General features: G+C 42.3%; 1 protein-coding gene across 43 annotated transcripts in view, besides 3 other annotated features; it reads right to left on the bottom strand.

Moving 5' to 3' along the window:
* OSBPL3 (oxysterol binding protein like 3) overlaps positions 1–26,045 on the bottom strand; it is a 185,309-nt gene that overhangs the window by 14,947 nt on the left and 144,317 nt on the right. For 23 of the 43 annotated variants that reach the window (XM_047420146.1, XM_047420134.1, XM_047420148.1 and 20 more), the window contains 5 exons: positions 23,003–23,253; positions 19,285–19,422; positions 8,692–8,755; positions 5,127–5,205; positions 3,576–3,720 (listed from right to left, as the gene is read on the bottom strand). In XM_047420146.1, coding sequence (XP_047276102.1) covers positions 3,576–3,720; positions 5,127–5,205; positions 8,692–8,755; positions 19,285–19,422; positions 23,003–23,253 — 677 coding nt within the window. Of the gene's footprint in view, positions 1–3,575; positions 3,721–5,126; positions 5,206–8,691; positions 8,756–19,284; positions 19,423–21,085; positions 21,153–22,603; positions 23,254–26,045 lie in introns of those variants that run through there. The other 20 variants (XM_047420131.1, XM_047420139.1, XM_047420142.1 and 17 more) reach the window with 5 other exon arrangements.
* Positions 14,569–15,768: an enhancer, noted in NCBI's record as "CDK7 strongly-dependent group 2 enhancer chr7:24865671-24866870 (GRCh37/hg19 assembly coordinates)". NCBI's record gives its function as "activates an origin of replication core promoter dependent on BRD2, BRD4, P300/CBP, MED14 and CDK7 cofactors, with strong dependence on CDK7, by STARR-seq in HCT116 cells {active_cell/tissue: HCT116}" and the evidence as "EXISTENCE:reporter gene assay evidence [ECO:0000049][PMID:35650434]".
* Positions 14,655–15,160: an enhancer, noted in NCBI's record as "NANOG-H3K27ac hESC enhancer chr7:24865757-24866262 (GRCh37/hg19 assembly coordinates)". NCBI's record gives its function as "activates a minimal SCP1, AML or CMV promoter by ChIP-STARR-seq in primed H9 embryonic stem cells {active_cell/tissue: H9 hESC(primed)}" and the evidence as "EXISTENCE:reporter gene assay evidence [ECO:0000049][PMID:30033119]".
* Positions 22,992–23,101: an enhancer, noted in NCBI's record as "active region_25757". NCBI's record gives its function as "activates an Ori minimal core promoter by ATAC-STARR-seq in GM12878 lymphoblastoid cells {active_cell/tissue: GM12878}" and the evidence as "EXISTENCE:reporter gene assay evidence [ECO:0000049][PMID:35858748]".

Consider the following 26,045-nt stretch of genomic DNA (forward strand, 5'->3'; position numbering starts at 1 on the left):
TTTCCTTTGCTGTTTAGTTTGATATAATCCCATTTGTCTATGTTTGCTTTTGTTGTCTGTGCTTTTGGGGTCATATCCAAAAATAATAACTGCCCTGACCAACGTCATGAAGCTTTTCCCCTTATGTTTTTGTTTGAGTAGTTCTACAGTTTCAGGTCTTGCTGTAAGTCTTTAGTCCTTTTGAGCTGGTTTTTGTCTACAGTATAAAGTTCTAATTTCATTCTTCAGCATGTGGATATCCAGGTTTTCCAACACCATTTATTGAAGAGACTGTCCTTTCCCCATTGTGAGTTCTTGGCACTTTGTCAAAAACCAATTAATTATAAATGCATGGATTTACTTCTGAGCTCTCTATTCTGTTCCATTGGTCTATGTATCTGTTTTTATGCTTGGATTTTGGCTTTAAAAAACTCATACCTTTAGTTATTTAATAAAAATGAATGGTTAACTATCTGCAGTTTGTAACTCAACTAATATTTGTGTAAGATACATTTGTATTTCTACCTTTGCTACATACAATGTAAGAGAAGGCTCAGTTCTTGGACGGGTGCAGTGCCTGATGCCTGTAATCCCAGCACTTTGGGAGGCCGAGGTGGGTGGATCACTTGAGGTCCGGAGTTCGAGACCAGCCTGTCCAACATGGTGAAACCCCATCTCTACTAAAAATACAAAAATTAGCTGGCTGTGGTAGTGGGCACCTGTAATCCCAGCTACTTGGGAGGCTGAGGCACGAGAATCACTTGAACCCGGGAGGCGGAAGTTGCTGTGAGCTGAGATTGCACCACTGCACTTCAGAGTGGGTGAGATTGAGACTCCATCTCAAAAAAAAAAAAAAAAAAAAGAACAAGAACAAGAAAAGAAAAGGTTCAGTTTCTATATATCAAGCGAGTAGTGTGGGTATTCTCACTATGTATTGGTCCAGGTCTGCGAGGCAACCTTGCACTCTATTCTGCTCAGTTCAGCTCAGCTCAGGCCAGTCCAGCCCAGCTCAGGCCAGTCCAGCCCAGAGGATTTTATACAGTTCCACACTGCAGCCAGCAGAGGGAGCTCTAGCACCCTAGAGTTGGTTTTTTTTGTTTGTTTTTTGTTTTTCAAATTACCTGGCTGCCCTAAAAATCTCTATGAAAGAATGGCAAAGGCATTTCTCCATAAATCAAAAAACCCTAGTACTATTTTCAGCTTAAACAGAGTCCATACTTGGAAACTAATCATGTTGAATGGCATTTTCAGGTCAGATTCTGGTAGTTCAGCTTCCGCATTTCAAGGCTGTGGTAAAAATGGTGGGGCACGGAAGTGTCTCAGACCTGAATTAGAAATTTAAAGTTGAGCTCTCCAGCCATGTAAGAATGAAGGAAAAGCAAAAAGAAAAAAAAGACTATTGAGACTCTTAAGTTGATTTATTTATTTTTTGATGATACAGGGTCTTATTCTGTTCCCCAGAGTAGAGTGCAGTGGTGCAATCATAGCTCACTGCAGTCTCAAATTTCTGAGCTCAAGTGCTCCTTCTGCCTCAGCCTCTCCAGCAGCTGGGACTACAGGTGCATGCCACCGTGTCTGGCTAATTTTTAAATTTGTTGTAGAGATAGGGTCTTGTCAGATTGCCCAGGCTGGTCTCAAATTTCAGGCCTCAAGTGAGCCTCCTGCTTCAGCCTCCCAAAGTGCTGGGATTACAGGTGTGAGCCATGGCACCCGGGCTCTTAAGTTTATTCTGAAGCAGGTGTCAGATTTTCCCTTAGAGATATCTGCCAACAAATCCAGTGCTGAGAATTTGCTGGAAGCCACCAAGGGACACTGTCACCTTCCACAGGCGAGTGTGGCATCCACTTGCAGCATCTCTTTCAACACCAGACATGCCCAGTGTTCATCTCTCATGACTATACACCCATTTTCTGCATGTAAGTGAATGAGAACAAGGTAGGTGGTAGATATGGGAGTGGAGCATGTTTCCTTGCAGAAAATGTTGAGAGCAACGTGGCTTTCACCTGGGTCACGGGTAACATATCCCTGCTTCAGGTTGCCTTTTGTTTCTGTTTGCAGAGAGCTTAGACAAAGCTTTCAAGGTAGGGTCATTTTTATTTTGTCCCACATGTAAGGTCATTATGGGCTTTATGTCTGTCTATAATCCAGTTTGAGGCTATAATAAAGACCCCAATCCACCTCTTCCTAAGTATTCCCTATAGGTTACAGGTGGTGCAGAGAGGCATTGCATGAAGTTCCACAATAAAACCTCATCTCTCTGCTTATTATTTCGATCTTTGTTAAATGCCAATATTCCTTGAGGAGGGTCATGTTTTAAAGCTGTTTTAACTACATACAATTTTTAAGAGCAAGAAGGAATCTAGGAGGGAGAGAAAGCAGGGAGGGCCGCCAGCAAGGCTGTTAAAATGAGAGACCATTCCATACTTTTTGCCTCTGGCCAATTTTTCCATTTATTCTCTGAATGTTTATGAGTCTCTCATGTGTGCCAGACACCATTGCAGGAATCAGGGCTACAGAAGTGAGCAAGATAGACTAGGTTTTGCTTTTCTGGAGTCAAGGATGATGAGGAGGGTATGGAGAGCAGAAAATAAACACACACAGCAACGATGAGCAGGCTGACTTCAGACGGTGATAAGAACTCTGAAGAAAATGGGACAGGATAGGGAGTGAATGACAGGATGGGGCTGGTGATGGAAGGATCTGGGGACAGCTGCCCAAGCAGAAGGAAATGAAGAAAGAGAAAGAAGGCCAGTGTGGCCAGAGGACAGTGGGGAAAAAGAGGGAGGAAAAAGAGAAGTTCAGGTTGGAGAGGAACGAGGTGGCGTGTGTGTATATGGGTGTATCTGCAAGTGTGCAAGTATGTGTGTGAAAGGGTGGAGATGGGGAGTACAGCCTGTGCAGCGCCCGACAGGCCACCATAAGGATGCAGGCTTCAACTCTGAGAAAGATGGAAGCTGTTGGGGGATTTTGCTCAAAGGAATGATACAGCATGACATTAAAAAAAAAAAAAGTCTGGTAAACCATACCTAATGTAACATTGACCATTTTAACTATTTCTAAGGGTCCATTCAGTGGCATTAAATACATTCACAATGCTGTGCAACCATCACCACTATCTATTTCTAGAACTTTTTCATCTTCCCAAACTGAAGTTCTATACCCATTCAACACTAATTCCCCCTTCCTCCCTCCTGCAGCCCCGGGCGACCACCATTCTGCTTTCTTTCTCTGTGAACTGGATTCCTCTGGCGATCTCGCAGAAGTGGAATCATGTAATATTCGTCCTTTTGGGGCTGACTTATTTCACTCAACATAATGCTGTCAAGGTGCATACATACTGCAGCACAGTGATTTATGTTTTAAAAGGGTCTCTCTGGCTGCTGTATGGAGGACAGACCTTAGGGGAGTAAGAGGCCAGGAGGGGCCATTGCCCTGGTCTAGGTGACAGAGGTGCAGCTGGGACCAAGGAGCTCAGGCATTGCTTGCCTGCTGGCATAAAGGTGAAGGCGAAAAATCTCTCAAATGCCCTGTGCTCTGGGGCCCTGGCTCTGCCACAGCCCTTCCAGGGTCAGAGCTCAGAGAGTCACTGGAGTTACCTTTATAAAATTCACTTTGCAGTAGCAGGAATCATCATGCAGGTTCTTGATGACAATCTCTCCATAGTGCTCAATCCACCTCTGCCCGCTTAAGATGTTATGGATGCAAGAGGTCACTTTGTTCCACTCAAAATGATCCCCAAAACTAAAAAGAAGGAAAAAGTAGAAGTACCAATTTCTAGAAGAGCCAGCAGCAAATGCAAACAAACTCTGCTCTTTTATAAAATAAGTCATGCAATGCATTATTCATCTCTTTATTCACAGAAGCAACACTGGCTAAGTGTCTATGTCACACTGGATGTTCTAGGAGCTTCCACTCTCCAAGGAGGCATGCATGCCACAGAGAATGACAGCATTCAGACTTTGCACTCTGGAAGCTACCAGAGGCTTCACTAGAAGCTGGTGGTCTCTTGGAACAGCCCACTCCCTCCTTTGACAGAGGAGGCAATTCAGAGCCAGAGGGGCTTGTCTAATGTTGCTGAACTAGGAAAGGGAAGCTTGAGAAAGGGATGAAGGTTTTATACAATCTGCTAAACATACATTGCCTGCATCCTTTGTGATGAGAAAGTATTCAGATATTACTTATGGAATTCAATAATTACGAGGAAAATGGTATTAATAATAAGACCAGATACTTACAAAACATATGCAATGTGCTAAGTACTATTTTAGGTGTTTCATGTATATTATCTGTTTAATCTTCACAATAGCCCTAGGAAGTAGGTGGTTTATTATTCTCTTTTTCTAGATGGGGAAACTGGTGATGAGAAAGGTGAAGTAACTTGCCCAGGGATTCGCTGTTAGTAAGTGCCAGAGTGAGCAGGTGAATCTCGGCAGTCCAGTTTCAGAGTCCCTGCTCAGAAGCATCTTGCTTTATAAATAAGTATCAATCATCCCTATCAGATCAAGGCCATACTTTTCTTAAAAGGGATTTTGATAGCAAAGCAGCATAATAAAGGAAAAACACTTTTTTTAAAAAAATTGAGATAGGGTCTCACCCCTTCACCCAGGCTGGAGTGCAGTGGCACGATCACAGCTCACTGTAGCCTCAACCTCCCCAGGCTCAAATGATCCTCCCACCTCAGCCTCCTGAGTAGCTGGGACTACAGGTGCGTGCCACCACTATGCCTGGCTAATTTTTGTATTTTTTCTAGAGACAGGGTCTTGTCATGTTGCCCATACTGGTCTCAAACTCCTGGACTTAAGCAATCTGCCCGCCTTGGCCTCCCAAAGTGCTGGGATTACAGATGTGAGCCACTGCGCCCAGCTAAAACCACCATTCTTAATCTTGTTAGGAAGTGGAAATGAGTTTTTAATAAGCATCTATTCAGGGAACTTTGGTCTCCAGGAGGCATTTCCATTTGAGGGAGAAACATTTTTTAAAAGTGAGCTTGCCAAAAGGAGGAACATTTAAACCTACTGTCAGACAGATTAAAAGAAAAAATACACACTCAATGCAACTGCCGGGGGCGGGGGTGGGCATCCTGTCCCCAAAGCAAAATCTTGGCCCTAAATTCCATAAAGCTCCTTAACCACAGAAGAAGAACTTACACTGGCAGAGTCACATGGGTTGTGCCAATTGGAACAATTTCCATGGATTTGCCCCAGAATTTGTTTTTCCATCTCACATCTGAAATGAAATACCAAATATTACATTTTTAGCAGGAGAGGTAGGTAGATGAAATAGTTCCTAGGCTAGATAAATGATCAATCGCTATATAGTACAACCTCTTCACAATCAAGTCAATTATTGTATAGGATAACTTTTCATAAAATATAAGTACCAACCCCATATGGGCCCTTGGAGCAGAATCAGGGAAACTAAAATGATAAGATAAAGTCCTTTCCATGAATGCGAGAAGTGAAAACAAGTAGTAAGCACACAGAGAGGCCCAGGCTATAACTGAGTGTGTTATAAGGTAAAATGAAACCTGAGAAGAAGGAGTGACGAATATGCTTGGAGAAAGCATCAGAAGAGGCTTGTCAGAAAGGGCCATCTAAATGGGGCTTTGAGGAATAAGCAGGAGTTCACTGGGCAGAGAAAAAGCAATTTAAGGCCAAATAAATAGCTTGTCTGAGGGGACGGAAGTATAGGAAAACACAGTCAAATAGTGTGGTTCTGTCCTATAGGTCTCAGATTGTCTTATCTAGAGAAGAGTAGAAAGGTTGAGAACAAAACCAGGTGCAGTGGCTCATGCCTGTAATCCTAGCACTTTGGGAGGCAGAGGTGGGTGGATCATTTGAGATCAGGAGTTCGAGACCAGCACAGCCAACATGGCGAAACCCCTTCTCTATTAAAAATACAAAAATTAGCTGGGCGTTGTGGTGGGTGCCTGTAGTCCCAGCTGCTCAGGAGGCTGAGGCAGGAACCCAAGAGGTGGAGGTTGCAGTGAGCCAAGATCATGCCATTGCACTCCAGCCTGGGTGATGGAGTGAGATTCTGCCAAAAAAAACAAAACAAAACTGAAAACGAAAAACAATGGGCTCTCCAAGCCTGGCTAAGAGTCTGGTTTGTGTGCACTGAGTGGAAATAATCAGGCCACTGATGTGATTAGACATGGACCTTGCAAAGGCAATTGGAAGCCATATGGAGAATGGAACAGGAGTAGGAGAGAGGAGAAGCAAGGCGACAAGTTAAGAGGCTACTGCAATTGCCCAGGGGATAACAAACGGGATGAAGGGAACCAAGACAACAGACGCGGGGAAGTGAGTGAGCCCAGAAATACTAAAGAAGAAGAAATAGGCACTAGGTCAACTAGGTGACAAGTTAGATACAGACTGAAAAAGAACGAATTTATGAACAATGTCAGATTTCTCTAACTTGCAATGAATGGTGGTACCAACAGAGAAGCCAGGAAATAGAAAAAGAACAGCAAGAGGATCCCATCTGGCTGCTGCACTGAGGATCTACAGATCACAGGGAAATCAGGGTTGAAGCAGGGGGGACAGTGGGGAGCCCTGGCTGGGGTCCAGGTGAGAGAGGTGGGTCTGGGACCAGCGAGCACAGTGGGCCTCATATTGTTTAATCCTATTTATATAAAATGCCCCAAACAGGCACATTTATAGGCTGGGGAATATTGAGAGAAATGGGGCAGGTGGCAGAGGGGGTGGATAATATTTGCTAAAGAGGATTCTTTTTGGAGTGATGAAAATGTTCTAAAATTAACTGTGCTGATAACTGCACAGTTTATTAAATTCACAATTCTGTGAATAAAAACCATTGAATTGTACACTTTACACGGGTGAATGATATGGTATATAAGTTATATGTTCATAAAATTGTTACCAAGAGAAAAAAAAGATAGATGGCTGTTTAAAGCTAAAGTATTAACAATGTACTACATGGTTTATGATATACAGAAGACGTATGAAAAAATAGTAGAGAGGTTGGGAAGGGAAAATGGAAGTATACTTCTGTAAATCTCACTATATGAAACTGGCATAATATTATTTGATGATATTAAAAATATATAACATAAATCCTAAAGTAACAACTTTAACAAGAAACAAAACAGGTAAGTATAGCTAATAAGCTAACAGGGGAGATGAAAGAGAATGATAGAAATTATTCAATCCAAAAGGCAGAGAAAGAGGAAACGGAGAACAAAGAACAGATGTGACAAACAGAAAAGAAACATCATGAGGGCAGATTTAAGCCCAGCTACATCTACAATCACAACAAACGGAAATGGTTTACACAACCTACATAAAAGGCAGAGAAATGTCAGGCTGGGTTACAAAGCAAGATTTGGGAATCCTAGGCCCATGGAAATAGGTAGATTGCTCAGGAAAAGGCTGATGGGGAAGTATGGCCTAGGAGAAGGATGCTAAGGCTGAGAAGGGAAGGATGTAACACAGGAGCACACAAAACTACTTTGAGAAGACCCCTCGCATTAAAAAAAAATCCAACTTTTGGCTGGGCGCAGTGGCTCATGCCTGTAATCCCAGCATTTTGGGAGGCCGAGGCAGGCGGATCACAAGGTCAAGAGATCAAGACCATCCTGGCCAACATGGTGAAACCCCATCTCTACTAAAAATACAAAAATTAGCTGGGCATAGTGGCGCATGCCTGTAGTCCCAGCTACTCGGGAGGCTGAGACAGGAGAATCACTTGAACACGGGAGACGGAGGTTGCAGTGAGCCGAGATCGCACCACTGCACTCCAGCCTAGCAACAGACTGAGACTCCATTTCAAAAAAAAAAAAAAAAAATCCAACTTTTGAAAAAACAAAGAAGAGGTGCTTATAGCATGAGTGAGATTTACCAATTAGGAGGCTAGGAACCTTATGAGAATATTTCCAGAGGGTTTTGGTGAGAGAGCAGTTTTAATTTTAAACTTTAATAGCAAAGGTGAAGAAAGAAAACCATGGTACTTGTCACTTTAAACTGGAAATACTGATTGCCTCCAAAGAGAGAAACTGAGTGGCTGGGGAAGGGGGTTACAGTATACTGTTTCGTACTTTTAAAGTTTAATAGACTGCGTGTGTGTGTGTGCCTGTGTGTGTAAAGGTAACGTGTGATATCACTAGTAGCAGAGAAAAATATTTTTAAAATGTATATGTGCTCACTGTCCAAAAACCTAGGATGCTTATATGTTCCTTCTACAGTACACTTTTTTTTAATAAATTGAGAGATTAACAAAATTAATCCATCTAGGAAATATCTATAGCCTTATTTATTCTTTAGAAGATTTACCCACCCAACCCCAACTCAAAATATAAACTGAACAAAATTTTAGGAACAATCATCTCAAAAATGAAAAGAAGTAAGCAATGTAAAACACGACTTCAGAAATAAAATTTAAGTTTGACAAAAGCTGAAAACCCCTCTGCTGTCTACACTCTGATAAACAACTGTAAATATTTAATGTCTCTTGAAATATGTGAGGCATTTCAAATGATTTTTACATAAGATAAAGTTACAGAAATAAATGGAGGTGGCTCAGATAAACTAAGTGAGAGATGAGAGGCAAGAACAGGTGGCGCAGATCCTTCCAACCAGGCCCAAATCCAAGGACCACTTTTGATCTCAGTAAGAATTGACAGCAATTCTTGGATAAAATAAATAGATAACATATTACACAATATGATGGAAGTAAAATGTATTAGCACATTACCTTGCCAGAAAACAAAATTTCTAGACTCAGCATGACACGCAGAGATAGGCGGATGGTGGCTGACCTGATGGAAACAAAGGACAGAAAAACAAAAAATGAATGAACTTTTGTGTCTCATGAAATCCATTCTTTCTCCCCTGCACTGAGATGTAACAGCGTGCAATGCTGAACTGAAGGAAAAACTTCTTTAGTTTCCCTCATCAAGTGTGTCCTCAAGAGGGCGCTCCTGATACAGTCAGCTCCCACTTGCTCAGATTGGTCAAGGCTGAGGGGAAGGCCCTTGAACGGAAGCCTCCAGAAGCCTCCGTGGGAGGGCGGCCAGGTGGCGAGTGATGAGGATAGAGGCGCATTTTGAAAGACATAAAAATAAAAACGGAGACATGTGAGGACTGCTCATCCATAACATATAATCTGACATTGGCTACCAATGTCAACATCTCTTATTAGCTGTTCTGAAAGTAGCTGCAGATGTTTTAATTAAGATATCAAATAACAAGTATTTTAAATGCAACCCAAAATGTTCTTCCTCGGGCTCAGCCAATTTAACTCTTGAAAACTCTGCATCATAAAGTCCAGCCTCTTTTCAAATCACCTACAAGAAGACCAATGCAAGGTAATTTTTTTAAAAAAGAGTGTTTCTATTAAAAAAAAAAAAGGTAAACACAATTGTTGAGGAAATGTTAGTCAACTGTTAAGAAATTTTATTTATTTTTGGTCTAATAAAACTATCTTAAGCAAATAAGTAATCTCATTCCAGAAAAGAGAATCCCCTGGAGCAGAGAGTGCCCTTTGGCAAGGGGTCATTACTCATTTTATTCAGCAGTGAAGAGGCTGAAGAGAAAATGGCTCCTCCCTCTATTTCCTCATCTCAGTCACACTCAGGGAACGTTGAGAGGTGTATATGCTGTCATTCTAATTCAGCACTGGTGAAACCACAGTAATGCTGCCAAGGGTGTTTCCAGAAAGTTCTCTGATGTAGCTGATTCTTAACAGAGGTGTCTTACATTGAGAGTATCTAGCTCAAAGCCTGCACCTTATAAACGAAGAGACTGAAACCAGAAAGATAAAGTAACATTTCCCAAGCCACACCAATAGTCAGGGAAGAGGTAGCGGTAAGTCCCAGCAGTTTTGGTTTACCTCACTGGTTTTCAAACTTTGCAAAAAGAAGAAAAAAAATGTTTTAAGCAGCTGTACAGTTTTCAGACCCGTCTTATCAAGAACCCAGAATACTGAGCCCTTGCTTGAGATAAACAGGTGGGGAGGAAGGGAGGGCAGTGGGTGACAAATCCACAGCTGTTCACCTTCCTTGGGACCCTCAGCTGAGGAACATGGTTTGAAAACTACTTCTGTATGCCAGGCCTCCAGCAGGAGGACTGCACGGCTGGGAGGATGTGGTCACACACGCCACACCCAGATGTGACTCATGGGATTACAGCCGTACCAGTGTGGGCCAAAGAAAGGTAGAGACAAAGACGTAAATCATGTAGGCATCTTTCAGATTCCTCAATAAACACCAACGCCAGCTGCAATACAAAGCAGGAGACTCAAATCTGCTGCTCTTTGGTTTGTCTTAGTTCCCATGTGCCTCCTAAGAACGTGAGCCCTTCTGTGCCTGTGGGATTTTCAAGGGCAACTTTCACTTCAAGCACTGACTTAGAAACCTAATCCCATAATGTAACTCTCTGATTTCCTTTGATGTTGTCTTTTTTCTTTTTTTGAGACAGGGTCTCCCTCTGCCACCCAGGCTGGAGTGCAGTGGCACAATCACAGCCCACTACAGCCTTGACCTCCAGGGCTCAAGTGATCCTCCTGTCTCAGCCTCTCAAGTTGCTGGGACTAAAGGTGTGTGCCACCACGCCCGGCTAATTTTTTCACTTTTTGTAGGGATGGGGTCATGCTATGTTGCCCAGACTGGTCCGGAACTCCTGGCCTCAAGTGATCTTCCCACCTCAGCCTCCCAAAGTGCTGGGATTACAGGTGTGAGCCACCATATCCAGTTATCTTTTTTAAAAAAATCCTACCACTTGGAGATACCTTATATTAAAAAATGCTACATTCTTCTCCTTTTCTTCACTAGCTGTCTTTCGATGAAAACAACGGAGCTAGCTTTGAAACCATGGGATCATATAAAACAAAATCAAGGTGCAGTGGCATAGCCCTGTAATTCCAGCTACTTGGGAGGCTGAGGCAGAAGGATCCCTTGAGCCCAGGATCCAGGAGTTCAAGACCAGCCTGGGCAACATAGTGAGACACTATCTATAATAATAATAACCATTAATCAGCTCAAGACAATCCCCACTCCCCACTTCTCCACCCCAGCTGGCATGACCCACTATGAAATGGAAGGAAAGCTATGAAATGTTCCTCTCCCCCATAATGTAAACATATTTTAAAGTGGATTATTATGAAGTAGATTATATTCATCCCACAAAAACAATGTAGCAATGTGGGAGAGGAGCACTATAGCTTTGATGAAGAATTTGGCATCTTTACAGGTATGGCCGAATGTAAACACAGTATATAAAAACCATACGCCTCTTCTGTAATAATTTTAAACCCCATAAAACAGGGATAAATATACATCCATATGAATTACAAGAGAACCCCTACAGTATACACACATCTCATAAAAACCCAACCTTGATTTTTTTAAACTATTGTGTTAGATAATGAATGAATGTTTAGCAGATTATGTTTAGATGGGTTCAACACATTTTCTGAATAAGTCTCAACCTTCAAATATCAGTAACTTTGCTTATTTCTTTATGGCTTACACAGGCCTTTGGGAATGGTTTATTTGGCCCACATTGCTTTTAAGAGTTTTACAAAGCTTTCTGGGGAGATTTACATTGATAGCTTATTATTTTGTATATTTCCTCCTATTTCTGGAGCATCTGCCATGTGCTGCACTAGTGTCCGGGAACGAGGGAAAGGTTTTTGTTGTTCCATGGACCTGGGCCCTGACTGCAACATCATCTGCTGGCTGTATGACCTTCACAGCTTTTCAGTCCCTTCAGCCTCTGTCACCTCATCTGTGAAATAAGGCTGATTCCACTGACTCGGCCAACTAAAAAAAGAACACATACAAACTGTCCAGGATCATACACTGATGTGGATTAGGCAGAGACTAAGTGAAAATATACTCATTTAAAAGAGACTAAGTGAAAATACACTCATTTAAAAAATCAAAATATAGATTTCTAAAATGAGTGTATTTTCACTTAGTTCTTAGGGCAGCCTTGTATCTTGGTGAGCCTGATTTTATAAATTAGGAAATAGGGGTTCTGGCCAGCAAAGAGCTTCCCCAATGCCACAACATTAATGAGTGATAAAGGTAGCACTCCAAACCTATGTCATCCTCTTCCAGATCCAGGGCTCGTGTCCCTCCCCAAAGCCAGGACACATCATTAAGGTTCCTTCTCATGGACATTTAGAGAAAAAAAACTTTTGAATTTGACCTTTCCAACCTCAGTCTCGCATATTTCTTTGTAAAATGAGGTGTGAGGATCCCTCTTGGCTTCAAAATGCTCTGATTCTAACATCTGCTGTTAATGTCTTCTTCGAATCTTAGCATCAAAGGTGGTGGCGGATGCTGGCCAACTTGAAAAAATTATACAAAGGCTTTGATTAACTTCAATGCCCATGGAAAAAGGTAATTCACAGTTAATCACTTAATCTTTGTTGATGGCAATCTTTCTAAAATCTATTAGAGTAGAGAATAATGAGCAGAATCTAACCTGTCTTTGTTATTGCAGGATTTTGGTTGAGTCTGTATTCTCCTTACATTTTAATTCAGGCAAAAAGGGCAGTAAATGCATTTGTCTGAATTGACCCAGCCCTGGAAGGAGATGCTGTCTGTTAGCCTGTTGAATAAACCCAATTTAGACTTTTTTTTTAAGCATTCTTCCCTATCACGTCCTCTCCAATCAAAGAAGAGCAATTCTTGATTGGTAAGGATGCCCAAGCATTCAAGAAATTAGTACACATGGTTTTTATTACGCAAGTATTTATATGGTAACACATGTATCTATCTTTCTTTCTACAAGCCCCAATACAGTTCCCCTGGCAGTTAAGAATTCTGGTAATTTATAATTTATTTATATATCTGAGGCCTTTCTTTACCTTGACCTAATCATTTTTAATTTATGCTTTGAATGCACTTTATATAAGAGGTCAGGGGAGAAGCAGATAGGAAAAGGAGGTATTTTCAGTATTTTTGTACTTTGTAAGTTTTTATTTTTCAGATTTAGAAAAGTAGCCCTTCAGTACATCAGTTCTCCCCTGCAACTGCTCCAAGGCATAACTATCCAGTCCTCCTAGGTCCTGATTTCCCTGCAGCAATACAGGGCAATAACGAAAAAGAGGGCAAGTGCCAGGTGAAGAAGTCATCCAGAGAGGGGACCAAGTGGCCATTCTTTCCAGGTCACTCATCAAGTACTTATTGATTGCCTGTGATGTGTCAGGCACCGTCCTAGTCACCAAGGGTAAAAATTCTTACCCTGATGGAATTTATATTTTAGTATGGAAGTGGGTAAGACAAACGACACATAAGAAGCACATAATTTGTCAGTAGAAATTGTGTTAAGGAAAATAAAGCAGGGCATGAGGATGTGGGGACAGTGAGTAGGAGTGCTGGTCAGACAGGGTGGTGGGGCAGGACTCTAATAATGGAAACCTGTGGGGCTGAGAGAAGTTCGGAAGTTAACCATGCAGATATCTGAGAGAAGCACGTCCCAGGCAGGGGACACAGCAAAGGCCAATGGCTGGAAAATGCTTGGTATGAAGCAGAAGAAGCAAGGCCAGTCTGGCAGAGCTAAATGAGGAGGTGGGGTAAGTAGGAGAAGTGTCTGAGGGTGAGATTTTCGAGGGCGTTGTGGACCATGGCCAGGACTTTGGATTTTATTCCAAGTGACTTGGGAAGTTGGTGGAGGATTTAGAGCAGCTGCTGCTTCTGTTTTAAGCAGTCACTGGGGCTGCTGGATAAGGAATTAACTGGCTCTGGAAACAGGAGACCAGTAGTGAGTCCTACTGCAATAATCCCAGTCATTGATTTTAGTGGCCTGAGCTAGGTGACCAGCATCACATGGGAGAGAAAGTGAAAATGGCTGGCTGTAGAAGGAAGGCTTCTGAAGGGAGACCCCAGGATTTGCTGATGAGAGGATGTGAATGATGAGAGAAAGAGCTATTAAGGATGATGCCAAGAATTCTGGCCTGATTTTGGGGAGAATGCAGATGCCAATTATTTTCCCTTCTCCCATGTTCAGAGTGAATCACTTATCTCATAAACACATGGCCTCTTGCAAAAAATTAAAAAACAAAAACACATTAAGTGCTGACTTGACCTAGAAATGGAGAAAACCACAAAGCAATGGTTTAGTTGTCTCATATTTGATTTATTGCTGGTTTTATTTGAACGGCTTGAATTTACCCTTTGAGTGTCTTTAAGAATTTACCCTTTGACAGTATCTTTACTTATTTAATCAGTAATAAATAACTCTGCTAACTAGTAGATACAAGGACTATGCAGAGGTGACATGAGTGTGCAAGGAGGAAGTGATGGGTGTGGCAAGTATAAGCCTGTCCAAGAATGTATGGACTCAGAGTCCTCCAATAAATAACAGAAAAGGAAGAAAGGCTGAGCCTGTAGAGCAAAAGAAAAGATCTTCATTTCAATCTCTTACATTTTAGTAACTTTTAATAACTGCACTCAGCTTTTCTGACACTGTCAAGGGTATGCAGGTGGGTGGGTAAATGGTTAAAATGAACAATGATCTGGACAACTAAAGTTTCATGTAATTAGGAAAAGCTACTTTTAGACTGTAGCTTAATTGCATATCCTTTCAACACCAAACCTTTCCCAAAGGTATGAAAAAAGGAACATAGCCAACTGAAATAAGTTTTCTGACCCATCTATTCCCTTGATGCAGCTCAAAACCAGTGTGTTAGCTCTGCCAGGCAGCAGGAGGACGCAGCAAGCAGGGAATCACCTGCCAGAGGATACTTAGTCCCTGAACAGTAAGGAAAGAAGGGAAGTCCTTCCTCTCTGAATTCTTCCTTTTGTGAGTTTATGTAGAAAGCCAAGGTTGAAACCGATTTTTTGGCACAAAGGAAACCTCTGAGAAGGTGGAAGAGCCAGAGGGTCAGAACCTAGGACAGGAATGTCTATGACTCACTCCTGATCGGTCCTCTTTCACAAAGGCCACACCCCTGCCTACCACAGGAGTGGAGAACAAAGTCCTATGTGAGTCTGGAGAGATTTTGCATGGTGAGAACGAACAGCATACACAAAGGGCTGCTTTGTGTATACTGTACTCCAGTAGCTCTGAGCATAGTCACTGAGTCCACACAAGAGACCCCACAGAGAGTAAGGGGAAAAGGAGGCAGGGATGGAAACAGAGGGGCTGGGTTCTAGCATTTGCTGAGGGGCACCGGGAAGCTCAAATCCTCTAGGCCTTGGTTTTCTCGCCTGTAACTGATCCCTGCCTCACCTTCCACAGAGCGCCGTTTTGGAGATCAAGTAAGATCATGAATGCACGGAGCACTCTACAAATCTAATACTTGTTCTAAGAAAAATTTTTAACAAGAAATGCTTTCTCTGATTTCTGACCACATGAATCATTTTGATGTTGTGGTTTTGGGTCTTTTAGACGAGAAACAATACAGAGAGGCAAGCTTCGACAGAGTCGAACTCTCAAGCAGCAATGACTTCCACTTGCCTGGCTGCTCACCACCTCGAACATCCACATGCCCAGCAAATCCACAAGACAACAAAATCAAGGGGCTTGGAAGAGAGGCAGCCATCACTTTCCAACTCAGACTGTTGTCTAGAAAACTCAGAAGAAAAGCCAAGCTGTTTCTTGCCAGGTCCTTAAGCTTGGAGATACAATTTCCATCATTATCCTCCTTAGAAAAAAATTCCACCCAAAAATATTAATTCGGGGGGCTTGCCCAGTTTATTATACTAGTCATCCAGAAACCTGTACTCATTGTAGAGAGGCACAAGAAAACAAACCTCTAAGCCATGAGAGCTTATCAATGACACATAATGGACAAGGGCGGAGTCATGCTGTCTCCATCAAGGTAGACTGTCTCCTGGGCTGGAGGCAGAAAGAGCCATACCAGGTACCAGCAGGAAACAGAATAAATGCTCTGGCACTCTCTTCAGATGTGTTAAATTAGAATAGACAGCATTGGGAGAGGGAAAGAGGGGTACTGAGCTGATAGGCTCCTGCTGGCCAGGGAAAGGGAGGCCCTGGCCCTACACCCTTCCCACTTCTAGGGCAGAGGACTGCCTGGTGTACTGAATCACATAGCTGCATCTTCACACTGTATGCTCACTTAGGATTCTCATTGGCTTCCCAAGTAATCTGCCTATGGGAAAATCATACCTAGTCACACTGGACAATGCTTTCTGATCCCCATAGCAGGTCTATTTTTCACAGTAAATGCATTTAGTAGCATTCTAGTTTATATACATCAGTCTCTTGTAAGCTTAGTGTGAATTTATCCCTGAGAGACTCATCCATTCTTAGGTATATTAAAATAACCAACTATCTGCAGCCATCAGGCTAAATTCCAGACAGATGAAGCAGCTCCATGATGATCAGGACTGGTGGTATGACCATGGTGAAGCCAGCTGTGAGAACTCCTGGCTGCCTGACAGCCATTTTCTGTCAGAGACTCACCAGCGACATCAAGTCCCCTTCAAACTACTTGTACTAGAAGTGGAGATATAGCATATCTTATTTGAACATAAGAAAGTATATATTATAGATATATGCCTTTCTAGTTTTCTTTCATCAAGTCATTCCTCAGCCTCCTCTCTGCCTTGTCAACACTCCTCTTACTATTCTTTTCCCTTTTTTTTTGAAATGGAGTCTTGCTCTGTTGCCCAGGCTGGAGTGCAGTGGTGCGATCTCGGCTCACCGCATCCTCCACCTCCCAGGTTCAAGTGATTCTCCTGCCTCAGCCTCCTGAGTAACTGGGATTATAGGCATGTGACACCACACCTGGCTAATTTTTTGTATTCTTAGTAGAGATGGGGTTTCACCATGTTAGCCAGGCTTGTCTCGAACTCCTGACCTCAAGTGATTCACCTACCTCAGCCTTCCAAACTCTTACTATTCTTAACACTTTATATTAAAAGGCATTGTAGGCCAGGCGTGGTGGTTCATGCCTGTAATCCCAGCACTTTGGGAGGCCAAGGCGGGCGGATCCCATGAGGTCAGTTTGCGACCAGCCCGGCCAATATGGTGAAATGCCATCTCTATTAAAAATACAAAACTTAGCTGGGCATGGTGGCACAAGCCTGTAGTCCCAGCTACTCGGGAGGCTGAGGTGCGAGGATCACTTGAACTGGGAGGCAGAGGTTGCAGTAAGCCGAGATTGTGCCACTGCCCTCCAGCCTGGGCGACAAAGTGAGACTCTGTCTGAAAAAAAAAAAAAAAGAAAAAAAAAAAAAAGGCATCGTAGAAGTTCCCACTAAATATAAGAGCAATAGCCATTTACTGAATATTTCCATCAGTGTATTATTTTGTTTAAGCCTTACTACAACCTATTAGTCAAACATTATCATTCCTAATTTACAGATTTTTTTTTTTTTAAAAAGGAAGGCTCAGAAAGTTGAAGGAACTTACATAAGGTCACACATGGAGCAAATTGTGGAGTTAAGATTTGAAGCAGGCAGGTCTGTACATCCTACACCCAGCACATTCTAAACTACTAACAATAACCAGTTCTCTTTCTTGCTTATTTCATGGAACTAAATGCTGAGTTATGTAACCCTCTTTCTGTCTTTGTGCACATGTGCCCAGGAGCTCTGATTTCTCCCCCACTGTGCCACCATGGGAAATACACAAACAGATCTTGAATTTGGCCCTGTCCCACCAGGGCTCAGAGGACTGAAGCTCAACTTTACACAGCTCATGTTACTATTCTTTTCTTATAGCTATTCATCCTGTCCTGATTGTCTGCTGTAGTTTGAGGCTATTTTTGGCCTTTATTTTTTCACAAGAGTGCATATGATACCATGGAAACCAAATTATATTTTCATTTATTCTCATTCTATTTTAGGTTCAGTATTTAAATAACCCAGATGAATTCTGAATCACACAGATTATCTTATCCCCTTTAACTACTGATTTAACTCCCTACTTCCCCAGTGTTAGTCCATGTTTAATTTCTTGTTTTAGCTTCTAACTGGCAAGCTACTGACAGTGTGCTTTGGGTTACTGTATATTCACTTTCCTTTGAGTTCCAGAGAACACTCCTTATCATTTACAGTTAAGATAAGCACTATCATCATAAGTCTCTCAGCCAACCCACGCTTCCCCTCCTCTCCCTGTAGTGCAAATCCATTGATAAAGAGAGCAGCAAGATAAAAGAATATTTTAGCAATCCACCCCCCTTCTCCTCAGTTCTCTAAGAACTAGGGGGTGAGAAATGTACAGAAGCAATGATGTCTAATGTCCCTAGGGATTTAGGGATATACAGAGAGTGGACGTGTTTGATTGCTACCTTAACAAGGTGGGAGAGGGTGTATTTTATTTTTTAAATTTGTTATAATTTTAATAAAATTTCTTTCTGCATATCTTAGAGGTTTTTTTTAAAATTTCAATATGTATACACTCTATTTTAGGTAAATAATCCCCTGTTGACAAGCATTTTAGATGTTCCCAACACTCCACCATTATAAACTCTGCTGGCATGCATCAATAATGACAGCAAACACTCATATAACATGTATCTTCATGTCTCAGATGCTGCTCCAAGTGCTTTGCAGACAGTGCCTCATTGAATCATCACAAAACCACGTGAGGTACATATAACTGTCATCCTCTCCACTCTCAAGAGCAAACTAAAGCACAGAGAAGCTATGTAACTTGCCTTGGGTTATCATGCTAGTAAGAGGTAGAACTGAGGTAGGACGGATCCTGGGCTGTCTGAAGCCTGAGTATTACTCTATGCTACTTCTATGGCAAGAGTGTGATGGAACCTTAGGCTGCATGAGTACAAGGTTGTGCATCCATCAGATGAGGGCAGGGACTCCTGTCCGGACCCCTCACCCCCCACCCCACTGCAATATCCTAGCACCTGGAACAGTGGCAGGCACATGGTATACGTTCTAGAAATAATTTATTGATGTGAATGAATAAATACATGAATGAATGATTCCTCTCAAATCAAAATTGAGAATAACGCATTTATCTGGCGCTACCCACTCTGCTGGGGGCATTCATGCTCTGGAATAATGATGTCAGTGTGTTAGGGAGCAATGTTAAACCTCTAAATTGAAGTTTGGGCCAACATTCATCCTTTCAAAATTCCTTGTGCTAATGATTTTAAAGAGAAAGGACACCGGCAATGCATGTAGCCAAGCAAGTGTGCAGAATTACGGGTGGTAACTTTATGCCCCTGGGTGGTGGCTTGGCTTCAGTGGAAGGGAAATCGATCCCTCCCTTTATGTTGAAAAGCACTGTAATTATCTCGGCTGCTTTGAAGCCAGTGAAAGGTGGAAGATAAATATTTCAGAAGCACATTTAATGGGAGACATAAGCAACCCCTCCCAACAAGCAAAAAATGGTGTACATCTACCTGTTCTGAAAAAAACTGGAAGCCCTTGTCCTCCCGAATACATTCATATGTTTCTCCAAGAACCGGATTAAATGGCTTGCTTCCAGCTCGGTAGTAGCTAGATGCATACGCTGATATGGCAAAGGCTGCCACATATACCTAAGGACAAGAGAAAAGAACTTTGTCATTTCCGTGTCACCAAGAGCTTTATTGTTCACAAAGAACTAAACAAAATAAAACCTCTATGATTTTCTTTCAGAAAGCCAAAGATTTGTCTTTGGTTGTTTTTAAACAACATAGGTTTAAAATTGTAGGTTTAAATAATGTTTATCTGGGCCCCAAAACAAATTAACCCAATGTTTTAAAGCTGTCCATTTATCTTGATGCCTAAAAGTTGGGAGATGCTATAAAGACGATGACATTTCTAAACTGGACTACACTGTTTCTGGAAACTGTTAAGCTGAGTCCAGTACTTTTAAGCCTGACAGTATCTGAGGATCCTAATATGGTGCTAAGCCTTCAGGGGTGGAGTGGGGAAAGAGTATTAAAAAAGGAGTGTTAAAAAATCCCTCCAAAACTCAGGAATCAGCATCATAAATTTAACCATTCAAAATGTGGTATTATAGAAACCAAAACATTCATTTTGACCAAAGAAAATCTGTGAGTCATTTCCTAAGCCTGGGAAACAAGCCACAGGATATAGTGACTTTAAAGTTCTGCTTTTTTGGGAGGAAAAGTGAAACATCCAAAAAAAAAATTAAAATAAAGAGAGGAAGGAAGAAAAACTTTACGTGAACACGAAGTGAACAAACTCTCTGGGCAGCCCTTACTGTGAGGTCTTGGCGTCTTTAGCAATTCCCCGTCAGGGCATCAGGGAGGCACATTACCTTCTTTGTCTTTTCTTCCATGTATGTAACAACAGTTAAGCCTAAGCAGGGATGTCCAATTTTCCTTTCTAATGTCAGGTAGTAACAATCTCAAGATTTCTTCTTCCCAGCACATTTCGTGCAGTTTCTTATACTGAAGAAGAGCTGAGTGCCTTTCATAAATGCCCACTAGTCACATAACCTTCTGCTAAATTTTTGATGTTGCCTGTAATAGGGACCACCTCACCACCTCATGCTATAGAATTCTCTAGAGCAGCTGGATGGCTTATAAAAATCAGCTATACTCGGCTGGGTGCAGTGGCTCACGCCTGTAATCCCAGCACTTTGGGAGACCGAGGCAGGTGGATCTGCTTGAGCCCAAGAGTTCAAGACCAGCCTGGACAACATGGCGAAACCTCTTCTCTACAAAAAAAATACAAAAGACATAGCTGGGTGTGGTGGCACATGCTTGTGGTCCCAGCTGCTTGGGAGGCAGAAGTGGGAGGACTGATTGAGCCCAGGAGGTCGAGGCTGCAATGAGCCGTGATTGCACCACTGCATTCCAGCCTGGGTGACAGAGCAAGACCCTGTCTCAAAAAAAAAAAAAAAAAAAGAAGGGCCAGGCACGGTAGCTCACACCTGTAATCTCAGCACTTTGGGAGGCCGAGGTGGGCAGATCACGAGGTCAGGAGTTCGAGACCAGCCTGATCAACATGGTGAAACCCCATCTCTACTAAAAATACAAAAATTAGCCGGGTGTGGTGGCGCACGCCTGTAATCCCAGCTACTCAGGAGGCTGAAGTAGGAGAATCACTTGAATCTGGGAGGTGGAGGTTGCAGTGAGCCGAGATTGTGCCACTGCACTCCAGCCTGGGCGACAGAGAGAGACTCTGCCTCAAAGAAAAAAAAAAAAAAAAAAGAAGAAGAAAAAATCAACTGCACTCAAGTCAGTCCTACTTGTGACTGCCTGTGTTCTTGAAACCTGGGTGTCTGTTCCTCTTCCTGCTTCTCCACATTGGTGACCTGTGAAACAGTACAGCCACACTGTGTATGGAATGCTGAATCAACCCTTAATCACCTTCACCATGTAAAATAGAACACAACCGATGAAAGAACCTAGTGCCATTCATGATGTTGTGGGGAAGACAGAGCGAAGGGGAGGCAGAAGGAAGCACTCTCCCTGTGGGTTGGTGGCATGAGGGAGAGTCCAGGCAGGGGCATAAGCAGACGTGCAGGACAGTAAACAAAACCCATGAGATAAGACTCCTGCTTAGTGGTTATGTTGGGGATGAGAAGCCTCTCCTCAAACCTCTGCTCAAGGTCAATTACACTGATCAATCAGCTGAATATCCTAAGGGTCTCTAAATTGCCACAGCATGAAACATCTTTAAGAAACTTTCATCCTCAAAGCCAATCATTTCCTTTAAAGAAAAGAGCTGTCCACAAATGCTGACTTTTAACACTTGCTTAGAAGCTATTTCTAGAAGATTTGCCTTCCTTTTATTCAGCAAAAATTATCTGGGGACAAGTAACAAAGAAGAGTTTAAAAAATACAGCTTGTTTTTGTCTCCTACCCTGATTATCAGTAACAAGAAAGAAAGTCTCTTGGGCCAGGTACAGTGACTCATGCCTGTAATCCCAGCATTTTGGGAGGCCAGGGCAGGAGGGTTGCTTGAGTCTAGGAGTTCGAGGTTGCAGTGAGGTAGGACTGCACCGCTGCACTCCAGCCTGGGTGACAAAGACCCTGACTCAAAAAAAGAGAAAGTCTCTTTGATGGGGAGGCCCTGGAGACTGGGCAGAATGACTATGGGCTATCCCTCTCAGACAGCAGTTAAGATTCCCCCTTAATCTTCAAATCATTGAAGTAATGATGTTTTAATGAGCGCTAGAACTGCAGAATGCTTAGAATGTAGAAAATAATAGCATCCTCTATCAATGGGGAGTGTCGGCAGGGCTAGGTCTGTGAAGCCGAGGGGGCACTCCAATTCCAATGTAGCCAATTGGCAAATGCCCAGGAGAGAGACTCTGCATCTGGGGGACACTGCTGTCCCAGCATCCCATAGAGACAATGACCTTACTGCTCTAAGGTCACTGAATATAAGGAAGCAAAAAGCGGTACAGACACCCACGTTCAAGAACAAAGTTAGTCACAGTCATAGAGAGGGCTGATCTGCCCAGAGTCTTGCCCTTTGGGTACTCCCTTCCCAATCTCCCTACCCATGAGATGGGGGAAAGATGAGAAATACTTGGAAGCCCTTTTAAAAGCCAGCATGCTGTGACTGGAGCTGATGCCCAGTAGGGAAGAGAAGGCTTTTCTACGATTTTTTTTAAGTACTCTATAAAATAAGAGGGAGAGAGAAAAAAAGAATATTTCTGATGTGAAAACCTCCTCTTGTGAACTTTATTTTCCAAAAACCTAGGAGCTGATGGGACAATTCCAGAAATAAACACAAACATTCTCAGGGGAAACTTACCCTGGATGAGAAAAACAGCTCGAGAAATTAAATTCTGTCCACCCAGGGAAGTAAAAATAAACATGCAGACAGCCCTAAAGACATGTTTTCCAGCCGGGCACATCGGAACAATCAGCCAGAAGGCTTCTGGAGAAAGAGGAAGCACAAACCCACAGAACAGAACTACCCCAGGCACCAAGTGCCACGGAGAAGCACCCCAACCCCGTCTCCAAATCCTCACAAGGTGACTGGAAACAGCCAGGCGGAGGAAGCCAGACAGCTCTGAGTAATGAACCTGTTTACGGAACAATCAAAATGAAACCGGAGGGAACAGGGGCTGTCTCTCTGATGGGCCCCGTGAATGGCCTCGTGGCTTGGGGACCGAGGCTGGACAGTGGCAAGGGAAGGCTGACTCCTCACCATCCTTTCCAGGGGGCTGGGAATCTGCGCGGCCTTGTCCAGGAGCTCGCTGTACTCCAGCTCCTCGCAGAGCCTCTGCAGCGTGTTCAGGGGCTCGTTCAGCTCCACCGGCATGGCCACCTTGGACAGGTCCTTCCCGATGTTGTTCCTCAGGATGTTCCACAGGCTGATGTTACTGCTGCTCGGGCAGGGCGCCGGCAGGCACGTTCTTCTCCGGGACTTCGCTTCCCGACCACTATCAAGGACAGGCCCTGAAAGGGAAAGAGGCCTGGTTGTCTCTATAAAGCTTTTCATTTTATTCTATTATTTTTAATCCACGAATAAAACCTTACGTAGCAAGTAGTCAATGTTACTATTAAACTCAGTTGTTCAGAGTATGGCTGAAGTCAGAAAACCGGCAAAAGAATTCTGAGCAATTAAATACCAAAAATGACACACACTAAAACCCATCGACTTTATTCACAGGGAAGACCTTGAATTGCTCCTCAAAACCTAGTTCCTCATAGCTCATACACACTTAGAATAAAACTGGAAATTGGATTTCTATGCCTATAGTTGCTTATTGTTTATAAAAACTTGTAAACTTTTTAAAAAATCACTTTAAATTCTGGTAAAACAATTGTGTTTATTACAGGAAAACTATAAAGGAAATAATGGTCTTTTCATTGCTCCACCACCCCAAAATAGCAGCCATTTATATATTAGAGTATCTTCATTTCGTGTTTTCTCCATTTGTGTTGTTCATACTGTATACGTATTTTATATTCTGCTTGTTCAGCTAACAGAGTATTTTTCCATATTATTTAAAATTTTTCTAAAACATCAGTTTTTGCTCAATATCACTAATCATTAGAGAAATGCAAATCAAAACCACAATGAGATATCATCTCATACCAATCAGAATAGCAATTACTAAAAAGTCAAAAAATAACATGCTGGTGAGGCTGCAGAGAAAAGGGAATACTTATACACTACTGGCGGGAATGTAATTAGCTCAGCCATTGTGGAAAGCAGTTTGGCAATTTCTCAAAGAACTTAAAACAGAACTGCCACTCAACTCAGCAATCCCATTACTGACTATATACCCAAAGGAATATATATTGTTCTACCATAAAGACGCATGCACGTGTATGTTTATCACAGCACTATTCCCAACAGCAAAGACATGGAATCAATTTAAATGCCCATCAACAGTAGACTAGATAAAGAAAATGTGGTACATATACACCATGGAATACTGTGCAGCCATAAAAAAGAATGGGATCATAGCCTTTGCAGCAACATAGATGGAGCTGGAGGCCGTTAACTAAGCAAACTAACACAGGAAGAGAAAACCAAATGCATGTTCTCACTTGTAAAGGGGTACTAAACGTTAGTTCACATGAACATAAAGAAGGGAACCATAGACACCAGGGCCTACTGGAATGTGGAGAGTGGGTGGAGGGTGGGTAGTGGGTGAGGATCAAAAACCTACCTATTTGGTGCTATGCTTATTACCTTGGTGATGAAATAATCTGTACAGCAACCACCGTGACATGCAATTTACCTATAGAACAAACCTGCACATGTACCCCTGAACCTAAGAGTTTAATAAATCATTTTTAAAGACTGTAAAATATTTTTTGCCTATATCTTTATTTTCTTAGGATATGAAGAAGCGGGATTACTATGTCAACAACTCTGAATGTTGTTAGACTTCTGATTCACATGATCAGACTGCTTTTCAAAAAGGCTGCCCCCAACTTCCCCATTTATCGGCAGCAGATGTGAACATCCATCTCCTGAGGCCTCTTCAGGCTTGTCATTTTCATTTTTAATTTCTGTCAAATTGTCAGGTGGACAGTGTAACCACCTTGTTCTAGCTTACATTTAAAAGATTTCCTGTGTGGTTTGGAGTGCTTTCATGAGCACTTCTTCTTTGCTGAATTGTCTGCCTTCCTATTTATGTATTAACACCATACTCTCTTGTTTTATATTTGTTTTACAATTCAATCCCCACTTGGTATTTACCTTTAAATTTGGCCCATGGAGTATTTTGATGAATGAAACATATTTTAGGTATGCCAATCTATCAATCTTTTCCTTCGTTTCATGCTCTGAAATTCCTATCCTCCATTGTGCCTGTTTTCAAATGAAATCTCTTGCATATTATTTTTATTTATATATCAATAAACATACTTTGTTGATATATATTTTATTAAACATATATATTTAACATTTACTTATTATAAAGCCAATCACTGAATAAAGGGGCTGCTCTGATGAACAGAAACACATGAAAACAGGGCCACACTGTGCATCTCATGTTAATCTAATCATCCAATTAACTTCTGAATTTGTTTTGCTTTTTTAAAATTAATTTTTTTTGAGACAGAGTCTTGGTCTGTTGCCCAGGCTGGAGTACAGTGGCATAATCTGGAGTCACTGCAGCCTCTGCCTCACCGGCTCAAGCAATCTTCCTGCCTCAGCCTCCCAAGTAGCTGGGACCACAGATGCACACCAACATGCCTGGCTAATTTTTTGTATTTTTGTAGAGATGAGATTTTACTATGTTGCCAAGGCTGATCTCAAATTCCTGAGCTCAAGTGATCCACCCACCTCAGCCTCCCAAAGTCCTGGGATTACAGGCGTGAGCCACCACGCCCAGCCTGTTTTAGTTGCTTAATATGGGTAAATACAACATAGGTAAGTAGCTGCAAATGGCAGTTTTAAAATTAATTAATTAAATATTGAGATAGGGTCTTTCTCAACAGGGTCACTCAGGCTGGAGTGCGGTGGTATGATCATAGCTCACTGTAACCTCGAACTCCCGGGCCTAAACAATTGTTCCACCTCAGTCTCCTGAGTAGCTCAGACTACAGACATGCTACACCACGCCTGGCTAGTTTTTGTATCTTTTTTAGAGACAGGATCTTGCTATGTTGCGCAGGCTGGTCTCAAACTCTTGGCCTAAAGCAATCCTCCTGCCTCAGCCTCCCAAAGTGTTGGGATTATAGGTGTGAGCCACTGTGCCTTGCCTGTAGTCATTTTTGAAAACAATTTT

This window comes from Homo sapiens, chromosome 7 (genome assembly GCF_000001405.40).
Source record: "Homo sapiens chromosome 7, GRCh38.p14 Primary Assembly".
In the NCBI taxonomy this organism is placed as follows: domain Eukaryota; kingdom Metazoa; phylum Chordata; class Mammalia; order Primates; family Hominidae; genus Homo; species Homo sapiens.